The sequence below is a fragment of the Homo sapiens genome, chromosome 18 (genome assembly GCF_000001405.40).
Source record: "Homo sapiens chromosome 18, GRCh38.p14 Primary Assembly".
NCBI classification, from domain to species: domain Eukaryota; kingdom Metazoa; phylum Chordata; class Mammalia; order Primates; family Hominidae; genus Homo; species Homo sapiens.
In genome coordinates this window covers 54,927,023-54,946,668 of record NC_000018.10, presented here as the reverse complement: position 1 = coordinate 54,946,668, position 19,646 = coordinate 54,927,023, and the positions used below count along the sequence as shown (strand labels likewise).

At 37.1% G+C, this 19,646-nt stretch overlaps 1 protein-coding gene across 21 annotated transcripts in view; it reads left to right on the top strand.

The window, feature by feature from the left end:
• The window catches only part of CCDC68 (coiled-coil domain containing 68), a 57,953-nt gene that overhangs the window by 12,793 nt on the left and 25,514 nt on the right, over positions 1-19,646 (top strand). For 7 of the 21 annotated variants that reach the window (XM_047437867.1, XM_047437864.1, XM_047437868.1 and 4 more), the window contains exons 2-8: positions 1,192-1,281; positions 3,870-3,994; positions 5,586-5,672; positions 8,572-8,712; positions 9,711-9,836; positions 11,721-11,849; positions 17,787-17,869. In XM_047437867.1, the coding sequence (XP_047293823.1) occupies positions 3,878-3,994; positions 5,586-5,672; positions 8,572-8,712; positions 9,711-9,836; positions 11,721-11,849; positions 17,787-17,869 (683 nt within the window). In that variant the 5' untranslated portion in view covers positions 1,192-1,281; positions 3,870-3,877. Of the gene's footprint in view, positions 1-1,191; positions 1,282-3,865; positions 3,995-5,585; positions 5,673-8,571; positions 8,713-9,710; positions 9,837-11,720; positions 11,850-17,786; positions 17,870-19,646 lie in introns of all 21 variants that reach the window. The other 14 variants (XM_011526202.2, NM_025214.3, XM_006722552.4 and 11 more) reach the window with 5 other exon arrangements.

Here is a 19,646-nt window from a genome sequence, read left to right as displayed (position 1 = left end):
ATAAAAGGTACATAAGAGAGTATATTTTAGGATAAAAGACATAAGGCCCGATGCAATTTTCAAATTATGAAAGAGCCTGAGAAGGCAGTGGGATTCATTCTAAAGAGCGATTCATTCCTATGATAAAATGCCTCTTATGATTTGTTAATGTACACATTGCATAACATACTAAAAAGGAAAATGAAAGTAAATCAGTCAAATGGGACTGTAGATCCAGGGTACTGTACTGGAGGAAAAAAACAAACTCAGGCCAGATCGATTGCTTTGCTTGCCTCTATTTTCCCACTGGTCCTGCCCCCACTCCTTGCCAAGCCCCAACCCAAAGGTCAGCAAACGTTTCCTGTAAAGGGCTAGATAAGGAAATATTTTAGGCGTTGCCTGCCACGTACTTTCTCTGTCACAACTACTGAACTCTGCTGTTTGTGGCGCCAAAGCGACATAAAAGATATGTACATGAATGGCTATCTTGTATTAGAGTAAAACTTCATTTATAGGCACTACATTTGAACTTCATATAATTTTCATGTGTCTTGAAATGTTCTCCTTTGATTTTTTCCAACCATTTTTATGAATACTAAATTTGAAATTCATATAATTTTCATGTGCCATGAAATGTTATTCTTCTTTTGATTTTTTTGTTTGACCATTCAAAAATGTAAGAACCATTCTTAGCTCTGGGGCTGTACAAACAGGAGGGAAACTGGATTGAGCTCCCAGGCTGGGGTTTGCTGACCCCTACCCTGGCCTGACCATCCTCTCTCTGGCTTCCAAGCACACTGCATATTGACTCTATGGGTGTTTCTCTTACTTCAAGCATTTAAATGTTGTTTTGCACCAATATCTTAATCCCGGAAGATACTTCAGAGGACCCAGTAAGAGACGTACTTCCATTCACAGTTTGCAAAAGCACACTTGCAGAGTTGCTGCTGCCAAATCAACTTCAGCGGAAACAAATATTTAATAGAAGCCATAGCTGCTAAGAGGATTTATAATAAAATGGAAAATTCTTGGCATCCTCTGTCAATTTCATTGAAGATTAAAGGATAAATGCAGGACTTTGTAGTATCCCCAGAAGCGATCTTGTTTCAAAGTGATGCCCTCAAATATGCAAATTCTTTGTGTTTTTTTTTGCAGCCTAGCTCACAACTGTTAGATTTTAAATATTTTGTTGTTGTTATTGTTTCTCTCCAGGGAAGCCAGTCTTAATATGATGGAAACATCTCTGAACTTCTAAAAGACCAAGGTTGGCGTTTTAGCTCTATTAATTTTACTTCGTCTTGGGTAAGTTAATGTTACTATGGGAGTGGAGTCTTGGCTTCTTATCAGTAACATAGGATTAATAATCCTACCTCACAGGGCTTTTTATTATAGTTTAATTATTAGTTATTTACTATTTATTATAGAAATTTCAAACAAAACCAAAATACATAGAGGAATACAATGAACCCTATAGACTCATCACCCAGTTTCAATAGTTATCTATGTTTTGCTAAATTTCCTTAATCTTTATCCGCATGTCCTTTTTACCTCTCTCTTTGAGTTTTAAAGCAGTTCCAAATGTAACACAATTTCACCTGCAAATATGTCAGTAGGTATTACTAAAAGATACAATCCTTTTAAAGAATGTCACAATTATCACAGCTAGCAAAATTACAACAATTCTTTAACATCACATGTTATCCAGTTAGTCTAAAAAATGTCTTTACATAGTTGATTTTTTTGAATCAAAATCCAAACAAGATTCATATGTTGCATTTGGTCCTGTATCTCTTAAGATCCTTAATTTATGTTAAGATTGATTAATGGTGTCTCTCAGGTTAAAGTTTCCTCATTAAATATTCACTAATGTTTTTAGCTTTAGGTGATGATGCTTAGGTTTTTTTACTTCATCAAGGGTTGCAAAATATAGATTTTCTAATTTTATCTCTCCTTTTGAATTTATTAGCTGGAATTCAATAAATAAACTTTCCCTCATCAACTACTTGGTTGCTATGAAATATAGTTCATATAATACATGCTTGTTTCTTTTTTTGCCAGGTTTTAGTATACTTTTGGTTTATGTGCATTGAGCTTTTGCCTTATGTGCTTCTAAAGGTGGACAGTAAGCATTGTGGTTGTTGCGGGTTTTTCTTCAGTCATCATAAATTCAGGGATTTAACATTTTTGATAAGTTTCAATCCATCATAGACATTCTTCTTCAGGATGGGTTTTGTGTCTTATTCAAATAGTATTGATCACTTTTTTGCTTGCTGATATGACCAGATATCTCAGACTATGGGAGTGGAGTCTTGGCTTCTTATCAGTAACATAAGATTAATAATCCTACTCCACAGGGCTTTTTATTATAGTTTACTTATTAGTTATTTACTATTTATTATAGTAAATAATAATTATAAGCTCACTTTACATATTTCTTACCCCAGACCTGGATCAGCCAAGAAGTCCTAGTTTCCTTTTTGGTAGGATATGATATTCAAAGACCACAGTCTGGCCGTGAGGGATGCTAACTGCTACTATTTCTAGGTTTTTTAGTGAATAAAGGTAGAATATATATTATTTAAAGGAAAATAAATCATTATTTTGTACCTCCTGGGTTCAAGTGATTCTTGTGCTTCAGCCTCCCGAGTAGCTGGGATTACAGATGTGCACCATGCCCAGCTAATTTTTATATTTTTAGTAGAGACGGGGTTCCACCATGTTGGCCAGGCTAGTCTCAAACTCCTGACCTCAAGTGATCGGTCCACTTTGGCCTCCCAAAATGCTGGGATTACAGATGTGAGCCACCATGCCCGACTTCACCGGCTTCACCTAACATTTTTGTTGTATATTTTATTTTTTCTTTTATGATAAATAGCTTGATTCTTCATGATGTTAACACAATTACCTGTTGGCTTTATTCTATAATGTGAACCTGTGTACATAAACACACCAAACACAGTTCACAGTTCAAAATGGCAATACCAATATTTCCACTAACAATATTATGAGTGAATATAGTTCAAGATTATTTTGCTATTCTTTTTGTTCTTAGAATATAGCACACCAGGGATAAATAGTTCCTGGTATGTCATTTTTAATCACTTGAAATAATTCTTATGGTTATAGAACTTGATATACAGATATATTTATTTGTTTATTTCATTTCACCTTTATTTTGGATGATTACTTTTTCTGTCAATTTTATTTCATAGTTAGATAATATATATATGTGGTTTAGTATGAAAACCTTAAGACACAGATTTCTTCCTTCCATTCATATTTCCTACCCTTCTTATAGAAAATGTGATATTATATATTATTTTCCGCTCTATGCTTTTTCATGAGATAATAATACATCCTAGTGATGGCTCCATAGCAGTTGATAGTTTATTTAATCTATCCTCTTCTTGTTGGCATGGGGTTTTTCCAGTCTTTTACTATTAGTTCTCCTAATAGTAAATAGGCTTTGCAGACTATGTATGAAGATACACACACGCACACAAAACATAATTTTGTTATAATTGTATCATGTTAATTCTACATTTATTATGTACTTACAATGTACTAGAATATAAACCTCATTCCTTTTTACAGTCTGAGATTTTAGATTTTACAGTCTGAGATGATACTGAATAAAAAGAGAAATTTCAGATTTTACCTTTTTAGATTATTTAAATGTTAAATTTTTAATTAATGATTCCTTCAGATGATATGGCTTTATATTAAATTAATTCCTGGATTTATGAATATATACAGATACCAATGATTTATAGCTTTTCTGCTATATTTGACTATAGTGATAAAACAACTTATTTCAGTTTATGAACCATATAATCATACAATCAAAACAGTCTGTTTTGCTTAGCTGATTTATGTTTTCCTAAAGCCAGAATTCACAATGACAACAGTGACAGTGACCACAGAAATTCCCCCAAGGGATAAGATGGAAGATAATTCTGCCTTGTATGAGTCTACGTCCGCTCACATTATTGAAGAAACCGAGTATGTGAAAAAGGTATGTGGGTAGCAGAAATCATTAGTATGATATGATTTTTTAAAGAGAAATTCCAATATGGGCTGGAGGATTTTGTTTCCCTCTCCATAGAACATATGTAAAGGAACAACCCTAGTTTGGCAAAGGACAGTCTTCCTAGCTGAAGTTTAAACCCATGTTTAGTCATTTCTCTTGAGGATACGAAACTGTTCCTATGCTTGGAGTAAAATGATTTTACTCACTCAGTAAAATTGAATAATGGGCCAGGAGGGTTCAGAACACCTATCAGCACTTAATTTGTCCCTCACTATTCACCACTGGATTTCCTACTGTTTTATAATGTTTTCCAGTGGTTTCATGAGTGTTGATCGTGTTCCCAAGTAGACGTTTACATTTCCTGCTGAGTTGGTGCCTCTCGTTACCTTGTTCCTTTTCACAGTTCAGGGTAACTATTGCCAGTGACTGTGGGTTGGCATATCACTTCATTAAACATGTGAAGTCTTATGAGAATCCAAAATGATAATGGCTGGCAGAAATATATATTCTTAACTGTTTCTTACAACAGACATGTGTTAAGCACTTAAAATGTGCTAGAGTAGGCCAGGTGCAGTGGCTCATGCCTGTAATCCCAGCACTTTGGGAGGCCGAGGCAGGTGGATCACCTGAGGTCAGGAGTTTGAGACCAGTCTGACCAACATGGAGAAATCCCGTCTCTACTTAAAATACAAAAAAATTAGCCAGGCTTGGTGGTGGGTGCCTGTAATCTCAACTACTCAGGAGGCTGAGGCAGGAGAATCGCTTGAACCCAGGAGGCGGAGGTTACAGTGAGCAGAGATCACACCATTGCACTCCAGCCTGGGCAACAGAGCAAGACTCCATCTCAAAAAAATTATAATAATAAAAAATAAAATAATGTTGTAGAGTATAAACCTGGCTCCTACTCTTACAGTCTTACAGTCTAAGAGGATGCTGAATAAAAAGAGAAATTTCATATTTTACCTTTTTGGATTATTTAATTATTTAGTGAAATAATGGACAAATTCTGGCATAGTTTATAACTTGTTCAGATTAATTAATTCCATCATCTTTGAGTGTCTTGCAACTCCATAGGTCATCAAGACATGGGCTTATATTTCATTCATAAATGTGTGTGATCTCTCAGTAATTATTCTGTAGTAATTACTTAATAGTAATTATTTTGTAGTAATTACTAGGTAGTAATTATTTTGTAGTGATTACTAAGTAGTAATTGTTTTATAGTAATTACTAAACAGTAAATTAGTACTAAATTACTAAATAGACAAAACAAAACTAAATAGTATTAAGTACTAATTACTAACTAATAATTTTTTGGGGGATAATATTCACTTAAGTGATATTTTAGATTTGTCTGAGAAAGAGTTATAAAGTCCAAATGCTTACCTTCAGCAATCTAAACAATATTAGCCTAAATGCAAGTTAGGTTGATGGTGGCAGTTATTTAAATCTGAGATCAATATATGTATATATGTATTACTTTCTAGATAATCAGGTACCCTGTAACTGGTATTGAGAAAAAAAGCGTTTGGCATTAAATGCCTTTGAAACAAATGGTTTTGTTTTCCTTCTCTAGATTCGAACTACTCTGCAAAAGATCAGGACCCAGATGTTTAAAGATGAAATAAGACATGACAGTACAAATCACAAACTAGATGCAAAGGTAATAATTTCCTGCAGAAGATTAGCATAAAGCCATTTAGACTTTTTAAAGTAATTTTTGGGCAATTACTAACTTCTTTGAAGATTCGAAGGATGAGTGTTGAAATATTTCATGCATATCTAAAGACGTTAATGGCCATATGTGTGAAATGTTTAACCACAAATGTTATAAGATCAAATTGGAATGGCTAGGCCTTACTTGAATATATTAAACAAGGCTTACTTATCGAAAGTAAATGAGAAGATGTTGGCCCAGCCAAGATCCATGACAGCAACATTTCCCAATGACAGGCAGAGCTTTTAGACTCACGTGGGCCACATGAATAGACACATACAGTTGAAGCTTTTAGGCCTGAGTTGAGTCAAGACTTTGTTAGATAGTTGATAAGTTTGAATGCACTCCCTTCCCCAACATCAGCTGTATATACCTAAGGTCGAGCAATCTGCACTTAGCCTTGTCTGGATTACACCAAGCTAAACCACATCTGAGCCAAGTGTACTTAATCAGTGTTGTCCACTATAGGCATGGCCACAGAGTCCACCAGAACGTGGGGTATAATGCATAAATGTAGTCATTTTCATCACCCTCAGCCTCCCACACTAACATAACTAGCTTCAATTATTATTTAAAATACTTCTAAACTAGAAAACAAGGTTATGTTTAGGAATGATAGGGAAGATTAAAAAATTCAGTTTGGGCTATGTTGAGCTGCCTGTTAGACCTCCAAGTAGAGGCTTCTAATAGGCAGCTGGACATCTGATTCTGGAGCTGCGGGTAGAAGACTGAGCTAGAAGGTCCAGGATACAGGGTAGAGATTTTGGGCATTTGAGGATTGTATTTAAAGTTCTGAAACTGGAGAAGTTTACCAAGTGAGTGAGTGTGGAGAGAAATGAGAGAAGATCTAAGGACTGAGTCTTGAGGGGACCGTTCCCAATGTTTAGATATCAGGAAGAAGAACCATCCCAGGAAGGTGAGATGAGGCTGGTGGATTAGGAGGAAAAGAAGGAGATTTCAGGGCTCTAGGGTAGAGCCAAGATGCTGCATTTCTAACAAGCTCCTGTTGATGCTGAGCTGCTGGGACCGTAGACCACAGTTGAGAGTAGCAAGGCCCTAGATTATCATGGCAAAATCTCTACAAGGCCAGAGGGCTGATGATTTGATGTGTGGTTGATCTGCTGACCTCTTATGGTTTGAAGTTACTCGTGTCAAGGCCACTTTAGCAGGAGTCACTGAAGGCAAATGAGGAGAGGGTTTCAGAAGCACGGCGGGACCCCTCTGTCAAATAATGTCCATGGGCCAAGGAAATTGCGGACTGAATGCCCACCATAGATAGGAGGAGCTTCTTAGGAATGGTGACGACACTGTGTTGCCATGTGTCTGCCTCAGCCACCTCAAACCACAGAAGGTCAGCAGATCAACCATGCATCAAAGCATCAGCCCTCTGGCCCTGTAGAGATTTCACCATAGTGATCTAGGGCCTTGCTACTCTCAAGTGTGGTCTGCAGTCCCAGCAGCTCAGCATCACCAGGAGCTTGTTAGAAAGGCCGCATCTAGGCTCTACCCCAGACCTCCTGATTCAGAATCTGCATTTTTAACCAGTTCTATCACCCAGTAGTTCACAGGCACATTGAAGTTTGAAAAGCACTGATCAATGATCTTTGTAGCCATCTACCACTGCTGATAATCTGCCTTCTTCAAGAGTTTTTTTTTTTGTCAAATATTCTTTAACAAATTAAAAAAGAAAATAATTCCTACTCTGTATATGAAGAGTGGAAGTATGCACTAGGGTCTTGACTCTAAAACACAAAACTGTGACAGAGTTACGGTGAGGGAGGATATTATCCACATACACTAAGTTCTTTTTGTTTTTTATTTCTGCAATCATAGTTATTATATTGTAGTGAAAAGAACATATATTTTGTTGTTAAACAAACTGGGATTCTAATTCTGGTCTGGCAGTTACTTTAGGTAAAACCTTAGGTGTGTTAGTTAAACTCTCATCTTCAAATTCCTCACCTGTGTAAAGGGCCTAGCACCTTCCAGTGTTTTGAGTATTCAGACAAAGGACTGTACATAAAACATCTAAAAGATGACCTGGCATATAACAGGTGTTTAACAAATAGAAGCTGTTATTATAATTGTAGTGTATGTGTAATTGTGTAATCATTTCTCAGTTTTGAAATAAATTGAAAGAACAGAAAGAGCACACAATAACTATTCAAGAGGCAGTGCCATGAGGTCTCCCGCTCACTTGCTGCATAAACTTGGGCCCTGGTCCTCAGTTTCTACATCTGTAAAATGGACAGTTTAAGTTAGGTGGTTTCCAATTTATTATCCACCTCCGTGTGTCCACGATTCCAGATGAGATTTATGTTCCAAGTGTATTTTCAGTGAGCTAGAGCTTACATCAGGTTATAATGGCAGTGTCATTCAGTTCTGATATCTCTGATTGGAAATTTAATATGAGGTAATTACAGTGAAGCATCACCAAACATTGACTATTATGTATTGTAACTATTAGGTCTGACAGTATTAGTCTATAATGCAATGTGACCAAAATGTAATTATGTCCACAACTTAGATTTTTAAAAAAATGTCTGGCCTTGTGGACATTATTTATCTCCTAAAAAGCCCTTATCAGTACATTTGAAACTATAGAAAATATAAAAGTTAAAATGTCATTCTAACTCTTTCAATATAAGAATCTGTTTAAATTTCAGCAAATTAGAAGTCAACTGCTTCATCTAGAATTTCCCATTGATATTTGAGATTCAAAAGATGTTTGTTTGTGCTGATCTGAAGCTTCTTTGATATATGTAATACTAAATGATCATTATTGTTGTCAAAGTTTGTAGAGGAAAAGATAGTCAGGTCTATGATTTTCATTTGTCCGTTTCAGCACTGTGGAAACCTTCAACAGGGCTCTGATTCTGAAATGGATCCTTCTTGTTGCAGTTTGGATTTGCTTATGAAAAAGATAAAAGGAAAAGACCTACAGCTCTTAGAAATGAACAAAGAGAATGAAGTATTGAAAATCAAGGTATGACTTTTAGAAGTTTCAAATTTTGTGTTTTGAGCCTTCGAGCTAATAGAATGGGTTGTTAGCATCTGTGGCTCTGTAAAAGCAGAGAGATGTCCACACACATCCATAGGTCCATCTGCATGCTCACTTACATAGAGAAGCATTTTTATATTTCACAAATCATATCTCACTGTTTTATTTTTGAGGCTTCTTTTGTTATTGAAAATATCTTACAAAAGTTCAACAGTTATACAATTTCAGTCATGCAAGATGAATAAGTTCTAGAAATCTACTGCATAACATTGTGTCTATAGTTAACAATACTGTACTGTACACTTAGTACATCTCATGTTAATTGTTCTTACCACAATCCACAATACCTTTTTAAAAGTGTGTTCATATTTAATAAATATTAATTATAGCCTTCATAGTCAAATGTCACAATATTTTTACATTTGTCTATTGCTGAATGCTTTTGATTTTTCTCTTTAGGGGTTTATTTTATATGCAGTCCTGCAATGAATATCTTGGTAGGGAAGTCTTTATAGTCATCCTTGATTGTTTCCTTAGGTTAAATCCTGGAAAGATTCATAACATTTTAGCATTATTGTCCTCAATACTTTAACCTTGTCCCACTTCTATTTCAGGAAGATACACTTTTTAATAGTGTTATGGACATTAATGATAAAAGGCTTGCAAATAAGTGTATAAGCTGACAGAGCACCATGGAGTTATGTGAACAGTGAGGACTATCACTGCAGGACGTTACTATGCACAGAGCTCTGGTTTGGTTTGACTATGGCAAATCTGCCTGTTCAACAGCCCCTCTAAATAGGGAGTTTCTCATTTTACATTTTCCTCTTACCAAATAACAGTGTCTTCTCTCGTATCCATTGTCTATGAGGCTGTAAATGGTATAGTTATACCTTTGGTGTTCTTAATTGCCCATCAAACTGTTCTGCCTTTAACACTTTTTGTTGTAAATGTCAGAACATGCATAGTGACCTTTTTTCTAGCTGCAAGCCTCCAGAGAAGCAGGAGCAGCAGCTCTGAGAAACGTGGCCCAGAGATTATTTGAAAACTACCAAACGCAATCTGAAGAAGTGAGAAAGAAGCAGGAGGACAGTAAACAATTACTCCAGGTACCAAACATGCAGCTTGTCTATTGGAGAACTAGCCCCCACCCTGAGCTGTTGAAGTTCATCTTTCTAGAAGAGTTAGAAATGAAACAAGCAATGGCCAAGTGACTTGGCAAAAGACTTGGGAAAGAAGCGGTGTGCTTGTCTCTTTTGCCAATTTCTCTCACCCCTGCTTAGCCGGACACCCCAGATGTTGCTGAGCTGCTGTGTTGCAGTTCTTGCCCAGAGCCCCCATGAGCACAGGTGGGAGGGAGGCAGTGCCACCCTGCCTGGAAATCTGGACTGGCTCTGCGGAGCTGGGCTGGTAACTTCTCTTCGGGCTCTGCCGTTGACTCGCTAGATGGCCCAGACTGAGCCATTCTTCCTCTCTGGATTTGGGTGTCCTTGTCTCTAGAATGAAAGAGTTGGGCTAGACACATGCTTTCAAAATTGTTTTGGTCTTAGGATAGATACTTCGGATTTAAAAAAACAGAAAACAAAATATGTATCTATATATTTTTAAATAATATATAAAGTTATATATTTTATATATTTATATTTTTATATATTATTTAAAAATATATAACTATATATTTTTAAATATATATAACTATATATTTTTTAAAAATATATAGATATATATTTATCTATATAAATAATTATATATATTTATCTATATAATTATAATATCTAATATAATAAATAAATATATAATATCTATATAAATAAATATATTTATCTATATAAATAATATAGTTATATATTTTTTAAAATATAAATTTAGATGCTTTTATATTTTAATATGTAAATATGTATAAATTTTAAAAATAAAAATCATGTACAGACACTCAAACATATTCTTTTTTGTTCATTTGTTTTTAAATCTGAAGTATATATACTAGGACCAATAAAATCTGTCTGAAAAATATATTCTAGAACTGGAGGAGTCAAAAAAGTGTGTGTATGCCTGTGTGTGTGTGTTTGCCAAAATTAAAACTATAAAACAGCTAATAGGAAAGTTCATTCATCATAGTTTGGGGCACCCAGGTGTCTGTCAGCTCAGGCTCTAAGAAGGTCCTCAGGGGAGTACAGTAGGAAATTCACTGCCTAGGTGACACCCTTTCATGCATCAGGCTGTGGTAGTGATGGTTGCAAACTCACATGCATGCTGGGTGCAGATGAAGAACATAAGCGGGAAGCGGATGAGGGTGCTATGCTATGGGGGCGCTTGTGGGGACGGGAAGTGTGCATCCCTGTAATGTGGGCTCGGCACCAGCCTGGAGTGACCTGACTGGAAGGCCCACTTGGTATTTACAAGGGAAGCCAGACACTTATTTTTCCCTGTGAAATGTCAAGCTTTGTTAAATACACACACAGAAGAGTAACAAGTTAGTCGACACAGTCCCACTGTAGCTTACTGCCTGCTAGATGGAGTCTTCTCTCCTATGATGGTTCAGAACAACCCCTGCTCTATGCCTATGAAGTAGCACCATGACACACTGAGGAGTTATTCTGCTTTTATGACACTTTCTAATTAAACATAAAACGTGTTTTAATTGAACATGTAAGGTTTTTTTTGTTCTGGATAATAATTGTTGAGAAAAAGTCAAAAATGTTGCTTTCGTTAAATTAGCATCTTTCTCTCTTATACCTGTTCAGGAAGTATGCTTTATGGTAACAAATGGAAACATTCTAGGAAGAATATTTATACATTATTAATTCTCTATTTAATGTTGTTGTAGTCTATCAGGGTTATTTTGAAGTAAACACTGAAATCAAAAGAGTAATTCTAAACAAGTATGAATTCTGAATTTTTTTGGCTAATTAGAAAATTATAGAAAGAGGTAATATGTGTATAGGTTTAAGAAAAACAGAGTTTTCACAACACAACTGATTCTCTGACCATAGGTTAACAAGCTTGAAAAAGAACAGAAATTGAAACAACATGTTGAAAATCTGAATCAAGTTGCTGAAAAACTTGAAGAAAAACACAGTCAAATTACAGAATTGGAGAACCTTGTACAGAGAATGGAAAAGGTACGCCCCTGGAGAATTAGAGGATTTTCTTACTGACAGCATTAGGATGAGAATGAAATAAAATAATACTAAAATAAATAGGATATTAAATTAAATAAGATAATATTATGTGAAAGTATTCTTTACAATTCTTGGCCTTAGGAAGTATTTAATATTAATTTTTCCCATAAACATTTCATATGATCTATACTGTGGTGATTGATTTACCTTTCTGCAAATACTGTAGTCATATCATCATTTGTCACTTTCTCTTTCTAGGAAATATGTGACTTAGAAAGGGGAACCAGGTGAGGCTGTGAATGCAAATAATGGAAAAGATCACAAAGTCCATCTATTAGGAGTAATAATGTAGCAGTTCCCTGTAATCACAGCATTTTTATGTATTAGAGTCAGTGCAGTATCCATTTTTGGCCACCCAAGTCTACTTTGTGTTTGGAAAAACCTACGGCTGCACTAGGAGAGATACAGTTCACATTAAGAAAATCTATTCTATAGAAATTGGAACTTTAAGAAGGCATATTTAGAGAAGAGCAATAATAGAAGAAAAATTTTAAAATGTTTCATGCCATGTTCATTTAAGTAGCTGGCACTCAAAATATACACAAAAGGTGAACACATAAATTTGTGTATGTATGCCATAGAATTTAGAATTTGGACAAATCAAGGAATATTTTTTATTAGCAAAACAAAGAGAAAACTGGCATCTCTGAAACTGAATTGGGGATAGAGAAAAATATAGGCTTTGGATACTAGTAAATATTGCCCAATACATTTTTTATATTTATTGTATTTGCCTGTATTCTTTTTAGCTTTAATTTGTTTTATGAGTCTGCCTGGGTTTATGCCATTTTATAAATGTCATTTCAAAAACATCACATTTCAATATTCAGGTTTCTTACCAAAGGAAACTTGATTTGTTTAAAAATGTTTCCCAAGAATTTAAAGTTTTATGACATTGTGATTTGGTTGAATTTGTAGTCTTGGTGAAGCTCCTATGAGGAAATCACAAAAATTAAATATGCCCATTATCAAGTGGCTCTAAGATAATATTCAGCTGCATGTGTATTATGTGGAAGGTCACTGAGTGTTATACTTTAGCAGAATCACTGGGTTAGAGTCTCCTTAAGCAATTAGTTTATCCAGGCATGACAATTTATAATTATGCTGTGTTGGAAAAACTGTAATATTTGGTTGTATACTTGGTAGTGGTAGAATACTTGATCCTATAATAAATAGCTTAACAAAACTAAGATAGCACAAAGAATGTTTGCATTAAGGAAAGAAAGACAATTCTGGGAAACGAATAAATTGCTTAACCAAACAACTTGATTAACCAGCTTAAAATTTAAGTTTAGTCTAGAGCTCACGCCATCTCAAACCCAGTGATATTGGTCAGGTTTAGTGGCAACCGTCACTGCCCCCAAATTAACAAAAGAACAGGCTGGGCATGGTGGTTCATGCCTATAATCCCAGCACTTTGGGAGGCCGAGGTGGGCAGATCATGAAGTCAAAGAGATCGAGACCATCCTGGCCAACATGGTGAAACCCCGTCTCTACTAAAAATACAAAAATTAGCTGGGCATGGTGGCACGCACCTTTAGTCCCAGCTACTTGGGAGGCTGAGGCAGGAGAATTGCTTGAACCCAGGAGGCGGAGGTTGCAGTGAACCGAGATTGCACCACAGCACTCCAGCCTGGTGACATAGCGAGACTCCGTGTCAAAAAAAAGAAAGAACAGTGGAAGATAATTTCTATTTCCTAGTAATCCCAAGAAATGTGTACTAGATGTTAGTTCATCTCAGAGTTCTGGGGTATATTTACTTGACTGTTTACTAAACAAATATTTGAACACCACCATGTGTAGCATAGAACTAGGGGCTGAATATATATTTGTGAATGAACCAGACAGTCTCTTTTTGTGGAGATGACAATGTAGTATATCTGGATTGTGTGAGGCTCAAGGAACTTCCCAGATCTCCCTTTCTTAATTCCTCTATGAGTCCTTTAGGGAGGCTGAAAGCCCAGTCAAAGGCAGAGGAGCATGCCCCAGAATAAGGTTCAGTGGCTCAGATCCTGGCAGGACATTCTTGGGAAGTGATGGCCTATCTCCTGCCCTGATAATAACTCGCAACAGTGGGCTGTCTCCAGGAGATCTTGGACAAAGGAAGCAGACAGGATGCACATGGCTTAGTAAGGCCATGCAGCAACCTTCCAGAATAGTTCAGTGACTTTCTGGAGGGCAAGCCTACTGGAATCTCTGGAGGGTGGAGGTAAGTGTGGATGATGTGGAGGGGAAATGTGCAGTTTTATTTAAAATAAAAAATGATTTAGGCCAGGTGTGGTGGCTCACGCCTGTAATTCCAGCATTTTGGGAGGCTGAGGCAGGAGGATCGCTTGAGGCCAGGAGTTCAAGACGAGCCTGGCCAATATGGTGAAACCCTGTCTCTCCTAAAAAAAAAAATTCAAAAATTAGCTGGGCATGGTAGCATGTGCTTGTAGTCCCAGCTACTCTGGAGGCTGAGGCATGAGAATCACTTGAACCTGGGAGGTGGAGGCTGCAGTGAGCCGAGATGACGCCACTGCACTTCAGCCTGGGTGATACAGCAGGACTCTGTCTCAAAAAAAAAAAAAACCAAATTGGTTTAAAAATATTTTATATTTGTGAAACAAGCAAATAAATAAAACTATAAGGAATGAAGTTTGGCAACTTCTTGGTTTAAAGAGAGACTGAGAAGACAGGCTGTGAGGAAGGGTGTCTCAGGTGGGGAGCGCAAGCCAGAGTAAGGGGAGGGTGTACTGGGCCTTTTGTATTAATAGGAAAAAGACACAAGTTCAAAAAGAAAGTAAAACTTAAAAACAAACATCCTCACAAAGGTTGATAAATATTGGCCTGGTCGTAGGTGCCCCCTGGAGAAAAATTTACTTGCTACTCACTTGAACAATCCACCGCTCCAGTAAATAGCCATTAGTAGTATGAGGTCTGGTAATGAACATATTACTTAAAACCTTCACCGTCTGTCCCACTTTAATCAGGAATGCAGTGAGAATGAATTCCATAAGCACAGTGATAAGCTAGCAAAAATGCCCAATAAGAGCATTTTAATATGGCATATGTTCCGTTTGCTAGCAGTGCAATTCTGTTACATCATATTTGTTTTCTAGTGTCATTGATTTAGCTCCATTGCAATTTTAGAGCTCAAAGGCACTTTTGAGACCACCTAGTTCCTCATCATCATTTTATAAATGAGGACAGCATGAACCAGAAACTATTCCACAATCCTCCACTTTCTAGATCACAACCCTTTCCATTATGCCCCCGTCTTCTCTAATGCTGGACAAAAATGATAGACTTGGTTCCAAAACATTTAGATGTTAGCATTTGGCAATGATTGAAATTGGTGCCCTCTCCGATCAGCCTGGTGAGGGAAACCTGGAGCTGTCTGGAGGTATGGCTCTGGGAATAGTGGGGTTGCCCACTGTGTGGTGCTGTGAACTCCCTTTCCCTTTCCTGAAGACATTGCCTGAGAAGCGCTATCTGGTATGGTGAGATTTTCTGTATTGTCAAAGAGGAGGCAAAAAGAACCCAAGCTAGATGGCAGAGCCTGGCCAAGGGAGAGCATTTACTTGTCCGGTTGTCTGGTCCCCTTGACCCCTGTTTATGAAAATCCATTAACCAAGAGTAAGTCTATTTAACATTTGTTAGGCACTATTTTCCCTCACCCTACAAATTCAAAATACATTATCTGTGGTGTGTTTTTTTTGACAATCCAAGCCTTATCATACGCTTGTAAGATGTATCTGTGGGCCGGGCGCAGTGGCTTACACCTGTAATCCCAGCACTTTGGGAGGCCAAGGCGGGTGGATCACCTGAGGTCAGGAGTTCGAGACCAGCCTGACCAACATGGAGAAACCCCGTCTCTACTAAAAATACAAAATTAGCCGGGCGTGGTGGTACATGCCTGTAATCCCAGCTACTCGGGAGGCTGAGGCAGGAGAATCGCTTGAACCTGGGAGGCGGAGGTTGCAGTGAGCCAGGATCGCACCATTGCACTCCAGCCTGGGCACCAAGAGCAAAACTCTGTATAAAAAAGAAGGAAAGAAAGAGAGAGAGAGAGAGAGAGAGAGGGAGGGAGGGAGGGAGGGAGGGAAGGAAGGAAGGAAGGAAGGGAGGGAGGGAGGGAGGGAGGGAGGGAGGGGAAGGGAAGGGAAGGAAGGAAGGAAGGAAGGAAGGGAGTGAGTATCTGTGATCCTTCAGAAATAATTTGAACACAGCTAGGGAAACTCCAGGACAATTTCTATCTGGCAAGAATACTATAAGAAAAATTTGAAAAAGCTAATTTTAAAACATAACAGAACACATTAAGATTTGAAGTAATTAGTGCCTTCAAATTATTATATATTGAGGTCCAAATATGTGCCAGGAAGCCTGTATGCCTTTTACATATATTATCTCTATTATCCCAACATTTCAATATAGGTAATATTATCCCCATTTTAGGAATGCTCAGAAGATACAAATATAAGTCAAATGAATATAGAATGAATACAAGTCAAATGTTGTAACTAACTCATTAATTAATGAGGGAAACAGTAAGATGAGAAAGCTGGTTTAAATAAAATATTTTCAGAAACTAGCCATTTATAGGCATTTTGGAGAAAAAGTGAAAAATAGTATAGGAGTACTAGATTAAATTTTTAAAAAATGGTTAATATTCTTTAAGGCAATTAAATCATAACCTTTGGGATTATGTCTTCTACCGGACAGAAATCTACAAATTTACATGCAACTTCACAGACTCAGGGCTCTAATGAAATAATAAATAATAAAAGCGAACACAGGGAAATTCTCTGAGAGAATTAAATAAATCTTGGGTCAGATGATTAAATGATGACCCAATATGATATTAAAACTGCATGCTGTATATTGTTTTTATTTCCAAGTTTGGGTTAATTTTTCTTAACATTGGTAAGGCCCAGAGAGTTTAAAACCTCGGCCAAAATTTAGAAACCAGGTAAGTCCCTATGTACAGTCTTTGTGATGTTTCTTCTATACAGCACTGCCTTGCTGTGTACCACTCACTCAGATGCTGCAGCGGGAAGTAATTTTAAACAGCATTATGGTTTCGGCACGCCTCTTCCAGTCAATTCCATCCATGTTGCCAATACCAATTCCTGCCTTTTTTCAATCTCCCTTGATTCTTTCCAACTTGGCAACCTAAACCATCAGGCCAAAGCACCAAATTCCTTTTTTTCAGCTGAGTGCCATCAAATATAAAATGAACACAGTCATCTCAGCTTCGTTTTTCATGGTCTTGTCTGTTTTCCTTTTGGATGGAAAAGCTTTGGCTTAATAATCAAATTAAGGCATCTTTTTAAAAGATATTCTTTCCTAGCATCATAAAATTGCAATCTCAGTTTCTCCTGTATCCTAATTGGAAAGCAGTTGTATCCTTTGTGGCCTTGATCCTTCATCAAAAACATGTTTATTGCTTTACTACCTTCTGACAGATGCCAAGTAGTATGTAGAGGTATCTAGTGTCCTTGGATACCAACAAGTCAGTCTAATGTAGGCGAAACAGGTGTAAGGGTGGGAGAGCCAGGGTCTAGCGAGAGATGGGCAGGATGTTTACATGTGGTAGGATGGGGAGAGATTAGTGGGAGAGGTTGAGCTGAACAGGCTATGGGCAATGCCCTGGAGGAGGAGCAGAAGAAGTCCTCCAGGCAGGTGAGAGAGTGAAGACAACTATTTTTGGCCTATAGTTGAACTATGTGCAAAGCACACAGGAGAATACTTGGCCAGGTTTCCTTGAAGATGAGGAGTAACAGCACATGTGAAATTAACTCTTTAGCTCAAGCCATAGTTATAGTATGACAAGAGGAAGGCCTTACCAAACATACACATGCAGTTTAGCAAAATTTGTATCTTATTTTCTCCTAGGAAAAGAGAACACTACTAGAAAGAAAACTGTCTTTGGAAAACAAGCTACTGCAACTCAAATCCAGTGCTACATATGGAAAAAGGTTTGTGAAGCTACCTGTTAAGTAAAGGCAGTTCCTGATTTCTTTCCTGTCCACTGGTATGCCAGCCAGGGAACAGAAGACCTTCTGTCCCCCAAAGAAATAGGATGACTGACAGTGCAGGAGGAAGGTTGAATTCTTGGGATTAACAGTCATGTAGTTATGTGCCTCCCCTTCCTCAAACTCAGAGGAATCACAGGGCAGTTGGGAGCCGGGGGCAGAGTTCACTGGGGGTGCAGGGAACCCTGCAGGAAGGTTAGTCCTTCTAAAGAGTGAATGAGTGAGTGAGCCTGGCACCTCCTGGTTTACCATTTGTGCTAAGGAGGACGCTTGAGAGATCTTTATTCCCTGATGCTTCTGTGTTTATTAATGAGTCACTTCTACAGCAGATATTACACTGGCCAGCCCACAAGCAGAATTCTAAGACAGTTTCCTGATACTCCTTAATTCTGTAAGGTGAAGGAAATGCTATGGACAATATCCTTAGTCCTTTGGACTTACTTATAAATACTCAAAGTTCACAAGCAGTCACAGTCCTCAGTATGCTGGGGATGGGTTTGTGGATATCACCATAATCGCTGTGCTACTCAGCCGCTATTAGAAAAAGTCTCTGTATTATCATGTAATAAATCATATCATAAGACATTTTATGAGATTTTTCTTTATTTTTAAAAAATTCTAAGTCCAACACAGTCATTGTATGTTCCGATATAATTATATAATATTGTTCAAAGTCAAATCGATTTCAAGATCTTAGTTTGTCATCCTAGAACTGTTGTTCACTAGGGTATCAGGCACCATTATGGACAGAATTGTTGTCATTTATTCAATGATGTGTGCTCAGACATCCCTCTTTCTCAGTCTTTCGATTTCCCCCCTACAGGCTCCCTGCTGCTTCCTTTCCTTTTTTATCTTTCTTCCCACCTGTCCTCATATGTTGTACCTTCTGCCTGGCTTGTAATCCTGCATTTTGGACCACATATGCCAAAGCCCAGAAATGGGCTGATCCTGGCAATTACACACACACATTTGAAACATACTAGGATACCAATATGTTATTAATTTTCCTATCTTCTTCCCTGTAACAAACATATAGCCCAAGAGAGTGGACTTCTAAGATAGTTTTATAACACTGAACATTTCTGTAGAGATTGAAGGAAATACTGTAGAAAGTATCCTTAGATCTTGGAATTACATATGGATATTCATAACTTAATTCTAAGTACATCTTCAGTTAATATTTTTTCTTAAATAGGCAGAGCTTTTCCAGGTAGCAGAACTACTGATTTGTACGCATCTTCCATTAAAAGTTCAGGCCTTCCAAGCTTGATTTTTTTTTTCCTTTAAAAAATGTGTTTTAAAAAAAATTGGTGATAGGGCTATTGTCTGTCTTTGAGCCAACAATATACCTGTTTTAAAAACCAACCTGATCTATTCTTTCTCTTCTATTCTATATAAGCAGTTGTTATAAATAATTCTTTAAAAGCTCCTAAGGAAGTTTTAGAAATTTCTTGGGAAAAATGGATGTTTGGTGTTTCTAGAAAGGTTTTTCCAACATCCAGGCTTATGCAATTTTTACAGATTGTAGGTATCATACATATTTGTGATGACTTATTACTTTGTCTGAGCTTTATGTAGAGGCATTCAGTTTGTGAAGTAACAAGAAAATGAAATCAGTATGACTCAGACTCTTTTGGTTGAAATAACAGAGACTTGATTAAGCTACTACAAAAAAGACAGTTTCTGTTAGGTTAAGATTAGATAGATATGGTCATAAAAA